The sequence below is a fragment of the Homo sapiens genome, chromosome 2, assembly GCF_000001405.40.
Source record: "Homo sapiens chromosome 2, GRCh38.p14 Primary Assembly".
Taxonomy (NCBI): domain Eukaryota; kingdom Metazoa; phylum Chordata; class Mammalia; order Primates; family Hominidae; genus Homo; species Homo sapiens.
In genome coordinates this window covers 137963566-137976643 of record NC_000002.12, presented here as the reverse complement: position 1 = coordinate 137976643, position 13078 = coordinate 137963566, and the positions used below count along the sequence as shown (strand labels likewise).

Below are 13078 nucleotides of genomic sequence, written 5' to 3'. Positions count from 1 at the left end.
CTGCATATAAGTACTAGTTTTTACTCATTTTTAGTTATAAGCAATTAAAATCCATTCCCAAAGTTGTCTGCAGGTCTAGAAACCCCATTAGAATACCGCTTCCTCAATACAGCAAACATGGTAATAGCCACACTACTCCGAAAAATATTCCTACCTCTTTTCTAGAAGGTGACTCATAAAACAAGATTTCAAGACTGAAAGCACGTTTGATGGCCCAAACACACAAGAAAATCAGTGCCTAAGTCCCTTCCATAACATATCTGTAAAGTATTTCTCCAACCTGTGCTGACACCACTAGAATGACTTTTTATCTCCCAAGGAGTGGAAGTTATTTTCTATTTATAGACAGGTTTTTTTTTTTTTGTTTTTTGTTTTTTTGAGATGGAGTCTTGCTCTGTCCCCCAGGCTGGAGTGCAATGGCCCGATCTCGGCTCACTGCAACCTCCTCCTCCCAGGTTCAAGAGATTCTCCTGCATCAGCCTCCCGAGTAGCTGGGATTGCAGGTGTGTGCCACCATGCCCAGCTAATTTTTGTGTTTTTAGAAAAGCCGGGTTTCACTATGTTGGCCAGGCTGGTCTCAAACTCCTGACCTCAGGTGATCGGCCCCAGTTGGCCTCCCAAAGTACTGGGATTACAGGCGTGAGCCACCAGGCCCAGCCAACAGGCTCTTACACTGAGCCAAGAAATCACTCTCTGAAGCTTTCAACCATTGGCGCTTTGAGGGCAAATATTCTATTGTTTGCCCATCAGAAAATATACGAAAATGGCAATAAGCACAATCAAATTCTTTTTTCCAAGCAAAAAATACCTCAATTCCCTGTATTTTCTCACACATTTTAAGTTTGTTGATCTGTACTGTTGGCTTACTATGGATCATTGGTAAACATTAACCTTTGCTTCCTGCCACCTCCTAGTTTCTAAACCTGACACACTGGATCTTCCAGTTCCTACTTGAATTACATTCATTCTACTGCCATCCAATCAGCTTAAAGTATTAAGCTTCTGTGTTACCTTAACATGTTATTTATGAAAGGAGACAAGGTTAATAATCTGATAAGGTTAGATTTTCAAATAGCTAGTCATTGCTAAGTACCTAATCTCTCCTGTGAAAGGAAAATAAAATCCTGGGACTCCAAACTCACTATGTTAAAAGGAAGAGTTACACTTGAGAACTGGGTCACACAAAAACTGCCTTCCCTTTTGTACCTAAACAGATAGGTGCAATGACAGAAGGCCACTATTTCTCCATGTGGCCCCCCTCCTTTTACATATAACATGTGGATTCAGTGAGTACTGATCAAACCCTCACAAGAAAGTGACCACTTACCTTACTCCCTACCCTCCCTATTTTTTTCTTTCCTCCTTCTCTCCTGCTGCTCTTCCCCCTTTAAATATTGAAGCCTTCAAACACCTCTTTGGAAAAAGCACAGATCACAGATGCTACTGCAACCTAGGTCTCTTTTTCTCAGTTGCATCCTCAACCTTGGTAAAATAAACCTCTAAATTGATTGAGAGCTGTCTCAGACACTTTCTCCCTTACCAGGTTAAGAATTAACTATTAAATCTGTTTAGTACAATTTGTTGGACTGGACTAAAGTCAAGAGATCTGGGTTTTCTTCTGCCTTGATGGTCCCCAGGTTTCTTATTTGTGAAGTGAGAGTGTTGATGGTCTGTAAATTTTCTTCTAGGTTTTAACCTCTGTAGAAATGCTGGTGTCTATATGCTGCAGAACAGGAGACCCATCAAACTGGTCTCAACATATGTCAGAAAAATTATTACAAAAAATATTATGAGGGTTGATAACACCTGTATTTCATATATGAGTTGCTTGAGTGGGTTAAAAAATTTATCTATAAATGTATATACAATTATTGGTATAGCAATGGTATAGTGGTTGAGTTAATATACAATAGGTTAATGAAAATAGAAGTAGGAAGCTGGATTAAATGTGATTATTTGAGTTACAGCTCTGTCTAACTCTTAAAAAACTTTCTGGCATTTGAACATAAGAACCAAACACTGGGACAGATAAAATGATTATCCTTTAAGCAGAGCCCAGAGCAAGGAGAACACATTGGCCGTGACTGCTTTCTGGAACATGTTTTCAGGTATAAATATATGCACTGTAAATTAATAGCATTCTCTCTTACCAAAAAGAATATGGGTTTCTTTTTTCCCACGTACCATCTAGCATGAAGACAACACTCATTAGAGGTTGAATAATAATGAAAACCCCCATCAAGAGGTTTAATTTAAGGAAGCACCAATGTTGATGGACCCAGAAGCATGTTCTATGAGATTTAGAATATATGCATTACTCTCAAAACCTAAAAACAATTGCAGAAATTAACAACATGAATACTTCAAGACCCTGAATAAAGCAATTCTGGCCACTCATTTTGTCTCATTAAAGCACACAAACTCATATACATGAACATACATGCATAACTTTACACTTCCAAGTTTGGTCTCTGTAAAAGCTACATGGTCTGTTTTTCTGTTCATGGTTTGTTTTCCTCTCTTTCTTCCTATTGGGTTCATATAATATTTATTTCATACATTTTCCTAACATTAGAATGTGTAATCTATGGATAACAGTGTTATTTACCAGTTATAATTTATTGATATGGTAGATGACTCAGAGTCATCTACCTTTCTTTTGAACTTCTCAGAGCCCTAATAATTGCTTCGCATCTAAACTGAAGTGCCAAGCACCTTTGCAAAAACCTCACAATCTCTCTTAAACTATGAAAACTCTTTCCACACAAACACCAGACTCAAGAGGAGAGGCTAATCGATAGGGCATATGTGCATCCCCTCCCTGCTCATGTTTCTGAAAAAAATCAAATAGACCACCCCCCCCCAAAAAAAACCATGAGAATTAAGTGGTATAAAAGTAGCAGTTTCATCTAGGAAGGCTTTTAGCTGGTTTTCTTTTGTGTGTTTTTGAAGCACGGTGGGAGAAGTGGTAGCACCATTATGAATGCTTAGAGAATATTTGCACCAAAGCCATGTGCCTATCTATCTGTGCAAACAAGGAAAGAAACTTGAGGTAATAAAACCTGTAAACTAAGACAGAAATGGGACCCTATGAGATACATTACAGGAGCTGAGCACAAAGGAGTGAACAGGATCAATGACCTCATTTGCTAGGGACTGGAGTTTAATGAATGATTTGGAAGGATACTCAAGCCATGGGACAATACAAAACTCTCAGGCACCCTGTAGATCTTAGAATATGTGGGGAGACCATTTCTCTAAGGCAAGGATAGAAAGTTCCTTGCTGTATAGTAATGCATTGTTCTGCCTGATGCTTGTAGTCAGGCCATAATAGGTGATTAGATAACCATCTCCCAGTTGCTACATGAGCACTCAAACTAACTGAAGTAGAGTGTCCTTTCCCCTCAAAACACTGTTCTTTCAAGCAACAGACACCTAGACCTAGGGATTTTAAATGCATTGCTTTTGATTTCATATAACTTAGTTGGGTAGTGAAAGCTAAGTATATATAACTTAAATTTTTCTTGGAGTTTTTCTTACATTTCTGATTGATTTCTTATGAAAAGTGACCTTAAAGGGCACCCACATTCTCCCCAAGGTGGAGTTTGTTATTAATACATTATTAGGGCTCAGTCAGAAGAACTCCAAGAGTTGTTCCCTTTATTTTGTTAAGTTCTCTGTATTAGCTTCCATGTGCACCTTTATGTAAGGACTCACTGTGCAGGCCAAACGTTCCTTTCTCTAGATAGCTTATAAGCATCTGGATAAATTTGCATTAGAAATTCAATTAACTTTATATTAAAAGGTCAATTAACTTGGCCATGATAGAGATTGTTTTTAATTACTTTTTCTTGTAGGCCTTCTCTTCTTGTCCAAGCACAAGTGACACTATCAAATGATAGTCTCATTGCCTGTTGGTTGCCTGAAACTCATATCCAAAACACACAGGAAATAACTGTCTTGGTTAAATGAATTAATAAGACATTCTTTAGACAATTCATAACTATTATAATTTTGGGGACTTAAAGTATAACCAATAATAAAGTATTTTAGCTTAAATACCCTCTATGGTATTGTTCATGACAATTCCCTTCATTGTCTGTCTTTGTTGGTTTCTATTTTCTTGGTGAAAGATGATAATAAAGTAAAATGATTTTAATGATTAGTTCTTATTACACTATATCACAGTGTATTTCATGAAAAATTAACAAATAATGACATTAACAATTAGTGATCTCTGTCGGGCATGGTGGCTCATGCCTGTAATCTCAGCACTTTGGGAGGCCGAGGCAGACAAATCACCTGAGGTAAGGAGTTCGAGACTAGCCTGGCCAACATGGTGAAACCCTTCTCTACTAAAAAATACAAAAATTAGACGGGTGTGGTGGCAGTTTCCTGTAATCCCAGCTACTCGGGAGACTGAGGCAGGGAGAATTGCTTGAACCCAGGAGGCAGAGGTTGCAGTGAGCCAAGATCATGCCACTGTACTCTAGCCTGGGCAACAGAGCGAGACTCCATCTCAAAAAACAAACAAAAAACAAAAACAAAAAATCAGTGATCTCATTTCATTAGAGAGCTCTTAGTTATCTTTGTGTTAATATGAGCCACAGTTCAACTCATTCATGGGGCACTAGAACACTTATACTTAAGAGGTTCAAGGGATTACCACTTGGCATTAAGTTACAAGTGACAATAGTGTCCACTTGATATCGAGTTGTAACCATTACTGAACTATCACTCAGACAAAAGAAAATAACTAAAGATAAATATATAAATAATATATCTACATATTTTATATATTAATGCATTAACCCAAACTTCCAGATGACTTAAAAATAAGGCAAACACTGTTCAGGAGTTGATATTAGGAAAAGTCTTGAGATGAAACTTATTTTACTTTTGCAGAAGGGAATAGCCTTCACTCTCCAGGAGCAATAAGAATGTCCTAAGCACTTTGTAAATGTTACCTATATCACTCTCACTACAACCTTATGAGATAAAATTCATTGTTCCCATTTTACTGATGTTTTAGCCAAGATCATAAATTTCACTGGAGGCTGAGTTACCTGTGTCCATCTACCTTTCCAGACTTTAAATTTTCCCCTAGAATGAAAGCACTGGATCTAAAAGTAATGACACTATAAAATGCCTATAAAAGTATGCTTAGGGCTGGGCATGTGACTCATGCCTGTAATCCCAGCACTTTGGGAGGCCAAGGTGAGTGGATCACAAGGTCAGGAGTTTGAGACCAGCCTGGACAAGATGGTGAAACCCCGTCTCTATTAAAAATACAAAAATTAGCCAGGTGCGGTGGTTGGTGCCTGTAATCCCAGCTACTCAGGATGCTGAGGGAGGAGAATTGCTTGAACCCGGGAGGTGGAGGTTGCAGTGAGCCAAGATTGCACCACTGCACATTTCAGCCTGGGCGACAGAGTGAGAATCCGTCAAAAAAAAAAAGGTGCTTAGGAGTTATCTGAATGCTAGAGGTAATTCTAAGCATTCAGTTTTGGAACTGAGTAAGAGGAAGGGAACAGATTAGGCCCATGCCACTCAAAGAATGAGTTCACAAGAATGTAAATTAACTCTGTCACTGAGCACATTTTTCCCCATGGTGAGACTTTCTCAATGAAAAAAGCTGTGCATCAGTTTATATTCCAGTGCACATTTCTTTTTTCTTTCTTTCTTTCTTTCTTTCTTTCTTTCTTTCTTTTTTTTTTTTTTTTTGAGACGTAGTCTCGCTCTGTCACCCAGGCTGGAGTGCAGTGGCGCGATCTCGGCTCACTGCAAGCTCCGCCTCCAGGATTCACGCCATTCTCCTGCCTCAGCCTCCCGAGTAGCTGGGACTACAGGCGTCTGCCACCACGCTTGGCTAATTTTTTGTATTTTTAATAGAGACAGGGTTTCACCGCGTTAGCCAGGATGGTCTCGATCTCCTGACCTCGTGATCCGCCCCCCTCAGCCTCCCAAAGTGCTGGGATTACAGGCGTGAGCCACCGCGCCCAGCCTCCTGTGCACATTTCAGATCTTCACATGGACCAATAACAGTTTGAAAACAGTAACCAGTCCATGAACAAGGTTTTAAATGGCACAAACTTAAGAAGCTTATTATGAGATTTTCCTTTTCTGTGAGTATTTTAATCATTTTGGATAAGAGTTATCCTTAAAGTTATCCTATTTGATTTTTCATCTATCAAAAGAACAAGTCACATCACTTATTCACAATAGAGATAGTAATGAAGGCTAATGTCCTAAACCCTGTAAATCTATGGGGGCATTAATGTTAGTTGAAGTAATATTGCTAGTTTTAATAAGCCGATCTCTTCCAAAAGCAAAAAAAAAAAGTCTTCCTAAAAAATGAACAATATTGTCATCACACAGCATAATGGTTAAAGTGAAATATGAACTTTAAAAATATATTACTCATACCTGCACCTCCGCCTATGCTTAGAATCTTAATTTCTGATTTTGTGTCTCCAATCCTGAAAGAAAAAAATTATGTAGTTTTAGAAAAATGTGTTAGGTGCTTTGTGAAATCTGATTATCTAGTCTAGTTGAAGAGAACAGACTAAAAATACAATGAATGAAAACTAGGCCAACATGAAATGTCCCAATTATATCAGTTATATTGCCATCTTTAGAGTATATTTCAAAATATAGGTTTTATTCATTAACAATCTTTAACTGGGAGACTTGGAAATGGCAGTATGTACATATCAGAGGTACAAAATGCCATTTGTTTGGTTATGGCTTGGAGAACAAGAACAGAAAAAGTGGAGTTTTGAGTCTAGTCATATAATAAGCCACTCATCGTAGATAAAGGAAAGGCTCAGCTGGTTCCCACTATCTATAATGTTTGCCTTCTTTCCTCCCCCTTTTTTTAACCTTCCTTTTAATGAACAAGTGTTTATTAAACATGCATTATGTGTATTCTATCCTAGGCATTAAAAAAACAGATATCACTTTGCTCTCAAAATGAAATGTGAGATAATAAAGCCCGAATTATGACTCAGGTACTAGAAATAGAGTGGAGTGGACAGATTGGGAAATAAGCCAGTAGGACTTGCTGTTAGATTGATGTGAAGAGGTCAGAAAAAAATATGAATGCACAGTGACTTCCCTGTTTCAGGCTTGGATGACTGGGCAAAGGGTGATGCCAAAAAGGAAGCTGAGAAATACAGTTTGGCAGCAAGCTTATGTTTTGTCAGGGCTTTTAAAAAAAATAAATACGAATTCAGCAGACATTTGGATTTGCAAGATTTAAGCTGGGAGGAGAGAAATCAGGGTCAATGATGTATTCTGGAGAATCATCATCATAAAGTAATGGTCAGTGCTAGAAAAGTAGATTCCATCACCCAAAGATATTGCAGAGTTATAGTAGTAGTGGATGGTGATGCAATACCAACTTCTAAAGATCACTGGATTGTGAAGAATATACAAAGAAGACAGAGAAGAAAAGAAATAAAGCACAGAGAGGTACCAGAGTAATTGGAGGCAGAGAAAGCCCGTCGTCATGGCAAAAGCAGCAGAGTGTACTACTTAAAAAAGGAAAAATCTCCATCGAATTTGGCAATACGAGTGTCTTTAGTAATGGCAGTTGTAAAAGAAGATTGAAGACTGAAGTCAGATGGCAATGGGATTAAAACTGAGCTCAAAAATGAGGAAGCAGATCTAGAGTCTGTTGAAACAGGGTGAAAGAGAGAAGGAAAAGAGATGACTGCTGTAGGAGAACCATGAAGGGAAAAGGATGGTGTTTGTTTCTTTGGACTTTGGGATGGCAAACAAAACTGTGTTTTGTCTACAGTGCAAAAAGCCTGCTCAGTCACAGGATGGGAACAAAAATTGAAGTAAGGTTCTAAAGGAATCTTGCAAAGTCTAGGGTCGAGAACACCTATAAATGATTTGCCTTCTTCAATTCTAATTATCCTCCAACTCATAATCCTGAGTCCTAACACATCCATTTCTATCTACACCTTTTGTTCATTCTTTAAAATGCTTACATCTATGACAGCATAGGGAGGCTATGAAGCAGAGCACCCAAGTTGAAATCCCAGGTTACTGTTATGTTACCTTGAGCAAGTTATTTGACATCTCTGTGAAATAAGATAATAATATCATCTCTCTTGTAGGATTATTAATAACTGTTTCTAATTCATGGAGAAGTTGTGAGGATTCAATGATTTAATTCATGCAAATCTCTTAGAAATGTATCTGCACATGACAAGCACTCCACATATATTAGCAATTATTATGATTCTAGGTACATGTAAGTGATTTATGTGAATTAACTCTTTGAATCCTTGAAATTCCTCTATGAGTTAGATACTATTATTCATCCCATTTCACATATTATAATGACATCAAATAATTATTGAAAACTTACTATTTTCTAGCCAAGGATTTAAATGTTTTATATGCAACAACAATAACCAACTTTACTATTTATAGTTATTTACTATAATTTTTCCTGCCCCCAAGCCCTGCCCCACCATCTACCCTCAAATAGGGGATTGAAGAATTCCTCTATAGGGAAACAAATCATCTCAGTGATAAAGTTAACATGATTTTATATCTGAGGATCTCCCAGGAAAGAGCTGAGTCCACACTCAATTATTCAGTGAGCTACTCACTCAACAAACCCTGCCCTGACTTACACAAAGAGAATCTGACTACCTTTTAGTGCCTCATTATTTGATTGAATAGAAAACCAAGGCTCTTTAGGTGGTTGGGGAGCTGTCTAACATAAGAAACAGAGATGGAAAGAGGCAGAGAGAGCAGAGGAACATTTTGTAATGAATAAGAAGGTATTACATCTGGGAATGATGAAAAGAATGCTATAGAAAACATTCTTGGAAATTAAAAATATAATAGTAAAAAGTTAATACATGGGCTGAAAGAGGAAAGTTGTAGCAAACTGGAAATATAAGAAAATTAGGTAATCAATCCAGGAAGTATTTGATGAATAAAAGTTCCAGAAAAAGAAAACAGTGGTGAAGAATGATTACCAAAGTTCCGCATAACTGAAGGATCTGAATCTCAATTGAAATAGCCCAGGGAGTACCCATAAAATGGGTAAAAAGGAACCATTTCACAGCTCAGTATTTTAAAATTTCAGAATACTAGACGTAAGAAGATTCTAAAAAGTTCAAAATAGGGAAAACAAAACACATAGCAATGTAAAAGTTATTCCACATGCCAAGGATGAGAATTTTGAGTAGCATTTGATTTATTTTTTTCTCTTGTTTGAGACAGGTTCTCACTCTGTCATCCAGGCTGAGAGCAGTGTCTCAGCCATATCTCACTGAAGCCTCGATCTCTCGGACTTAAGTGATCTTCCCACTTCAGCGTCTGGAGTAGCATGTGCATGCCGCCTTGTTCAGCTAACTTTTTCACTTTTTTGTAGAGATGGGATCTTGCTATGTTGCCCAGGCTGGTCTCAAACTCCTAGGCTCAAGTAATCCTCCCGCCTCAGCCTCCCGAAGTGCTAGGATTACAGGCGTGAACCAACACATCTGGCCAGTATTTTATTTGTTAACAGCAATTCTGGTATCTAAAAGACAGTGGAAAAGTACCTTTAGATCTATTATACAAAACCATTTTCAGTATAGAGTTCTATATCCAGTCAAACGATTAACATAGAACCAAGGGATTTTTAAACATACAAAGTCTCAAAAAGTTTACCTCTCGTTCACTCTTAAAGTTCTTAAAGAATTGTTCAGGAAACAAAGGACCGAGGAAACAAAGAAAAGAAAGGCATGAGATATAGAATCAGGGAATCAAATAATGGAGAAAGAAAATGATTCTCAGAAAGTGAAATAAATTCCCTCCTTAATAGTTGTATAGCAGGCCAAAGCAGATCTTCCTAAACTGAAAAAAAGAACAGAGGGCTTCAGAAAAGTTGTTCCCTTGGGGTAAAATAAACAGATTCCTTGATATGTTTGCATATATTGAGAGGAGATTAATATATCTGCTTGGGGATCAAAATAGTAATAGGTACATGGAGAACTAAGAAAAGAAACCAAAATCAAGGCAATAGTCAACTCTAGGGAGAACAAAAAGTTGTACGTAAAAGGAAATATAAGCATAGTCGAATATATTGCTCAATTATTAAGAATATGTACATAGGCAAAATAACATAAACACTCAAATTATTTAACCAAAATTTTGACTACATATAGTGACATGATAGGGTGGGAAATATGCATGCTTACTTAGCTATTTTAATACAGCGAAATGAAGAAATAGAACAATAACATGTTATTTTGAATTATGAAAGAAAATTCCATAAATAACTAAAAGATTTCAAAGTGCTGAAAGTGGTTGCTTCCGGAGAGTGGGAATCAAGAATGGAGTGGGTGGGGTTTGTTATAGTCCCCACACACTTTAGAACCATTTGATGTTTTAAAATATGGCATGTCTTGCTTTAATAAAAATTTAATAGGCTCGCTCCACACTCAATTAGCACAGTGAGCCACAAACTCAACAAACCCTGCCCTAACATACACAAAGAGTATCCTAATCACATTTTGGTACTTCATAACTTATAGACAACTCTAAGTAACAATTTTAAAAGTCCTTCAGCTAAATCTTATTTCAAACATTACCTTCAGGAAAAAAATAAATGACACTGAATCTGATCATTCCTAACTATATACTACTGTTATAAGACAAACAGTGTGCCCTTAAAAATTCTTCAGTCTTTCACAGATTTTATAATATTTCCAGTTAGATTTAAACTTTGAAGATAAGGAAGGGGTCATTCATCATCGATTATGTTATCTCCATCCACGGTACCTCTTCAAACCAAACTGTGTATGGCTGAAGAAAACCAAGGATCTGGTAAGCTACAGACATGAGCAAATACTTTTAGTACTGAAAAAGAATTGAGAAATTAACTCATTACCTTTAACTTTAGAAATGAGCAAAGAAACCCAAAGAGGTTAACTATAATTAGTTCCTAGGTAAGAAGTTCTCTATATTTGCTATTTGCTTTGATGTTTGCATCCTTATCCTATTACATATTAATTTTTAATATATAATATCCTATTTTTTGAAAGCTAACATTTAAAATCTGAATCATGTTAAATAGAAAAGGAAATAAAATTTTATGTACATCTAATAATGCCTGCTCTGGTCAGACATAGGTACTGCCCTGGTGAAAGAATTTCAGGCCTGCAATAGAGAAATTCAGCAAAAGATAAAATACCACTTTCCTTTGCTGTTTGCAAATTGGATCCATAGTCATTTCTTCCCAGTTTTCCATTATTATTTCCTGAAGTAGAATGAGTTACAGCAAATCACCCCCAGATAGGTGATTTGATTATCTTTAGCATGTGGAATCTGTTACTCTCATAATGCTTATCAGCTCTGGCACAAATTGAACACATTAATCACCCAAAAAAAAGAACTCTGCAAGAAGGATAGGAACCAGTGAGTTTCACTGATAATGGGAAAATGGTTCTTTTTTTAAGGAACACATTGCTAATATTAAGCTGAAAGAAAAAGACAATTTTGAGGAAGAGAGTGATAACTATAACAATGGATAAGGAAAATTAATTTAAATGGATATTATGAGAACTGAGGCACTCAATCCTCAGGGCAAATCGTACTTTGGCAATTATTTATATTTGATTCTAATGAAAAGCATACCAGACTCCCTTTGGGACTTTTTTGGGATGTAAAATTTGGAGGAGGGCTGAAAAATCTGAGTTCGAAGATTAGCATCTTATCTTTTCCCAAATGAACATGGATTTGTGCCTTCAAATGGTTAACGCTTATCTCTATGCAGCTGGAAATACAACACAAATGGGAGCCTTTGAGTGTTCAAAGCAAACGTGGAACCAAAGCACTGCAGGAGAAAGGCAGGGCAGGGCAGCGAGGAGGGGACGACGGGGAGCTGCTATCAGTAATTCGCCCTTATCCCTGTGCCCAGCCTGCGAGGCTGAGCGAGACCCATCTATCACTGACGCACAGCCAGTCTGAGGCTTGTCCCTTTGACAACAACGTCCCTTTTGTTACCTTCCTATTATGCCTGGCAGCTTCTTGTCCATGAATTCCTGCATGCACTGGTGTTCCGTGGAATGGTTGAGAAACCTCCGGAAAGATTCAACATATTTCCCGTGGTCAGAAAACAAGCTCCTCATGGAAGATGCCATATTTGGTTTTCTGAGAAAGACAGAGCAGGAAGCAAGGTTTAAGTTCCCCTCCTTCTCTTCCCAGTTCCCTCTTTCTTTCCCCACCCCCACCAGTTTCTATCCAAAAAAAAAAAAAAAAATGCTAAGCTTGTTTTGAATTTAACATGCCACAAAGGCTGGCTTGTAGAGCTCATTACTGAGTCAATATTTGAACGGGACTTTGCACTGATACTTTAACCCCTATACGGTTGTTTTGTAAGAAATAGAAGTATTAAGCAAGGCTGTAAATCCACTGCTAAAACTTTTCAAATTCCTGAGGTTGAAAGGTCATAAAAACAAACTGTATTCAAATCACTTCCTGTTTTGTCAGCAAAGCCACAAGTAAGTTCCAAGTGGGAAAGTGACTGTTCGAAGTGGCAAACACCAGGATAAAGAGGACAGCTACACAGCACTCTCAGAAATCTACAGCAGTGAAATCTTTAACGGAAGACTGTCATCTGCCTCTGTGCTTTCTACGGGATTGTTTTGGGCCTTTACATTCCTCAGCACTTGAATTTTCAACTTATCTGCTGCATTTCTTCAAATGCTGATTTGTTGTAACTCAGAAATTATCTTAAAAGGAAGTCACGAAGGAGGAGCCCAAGAACTCGTAGCTAGAAGGTGTCAGAAGCTGCATTTAGGGGAATGAGAGTGGTAAGAGAAGTCTTGGAGCAAGAATGCAGGACACCAGGGTAAAAGTGCAGTCCATAGAATCCTTCCCTAAGCGCGCTGAACACGACGAGGTCATAGATACTTCGCTTGGCTGGATGAGCCTTTGGAAACCCAGTGGTGTCCCCACCAGAAGAGCCAAAGCTTCAGAGTACCCACACACAGTCTTTTTCCTGGGAAGAGGTCTTTAAGAAGGTCATCCTTTATCTAATATTGGGTTGTTAATAATAGCATCCAAC

The 13078-nt window shown here is 37.8% G+C and overlaps 1 protein-coding gene across 6 annotated transcripts in view; it reads right to left on the bottom strand.

Annotated features, from left to right (window-relative positions):
* HNMT (histamine N-methyltransferase) overlaps positions 1-12171 on the bottom strand; it is a 51892-nt gene extending 39721 nt beyond the window's left edge. For 3 of the 6 annotated variants that reach the window (NM_006895.3, XM_017003949.3, NM_001024075.3), the window contains exons 1-2: positions 12016-12171; positions 6427-6479 (exon numbers count right to left, since the gene is read on the bottom strand). In NM_006895.3, the coding sequence (NP_008826.1) occupies positions 6427-6479; positions 12016-12152 (190 nt within the window). In that variant the 5' untranslated portion in view covers positions 12153-12171. Of the gene's footprint in view, positions 1-6426; positions 6480-9212; positions 9548-12015 lie in introns of those variants that run through there. The other 3 variants (XM_017003948.2, NM_001024074.3, XM_011511064.3) reach the window with 3 other exon arrangements.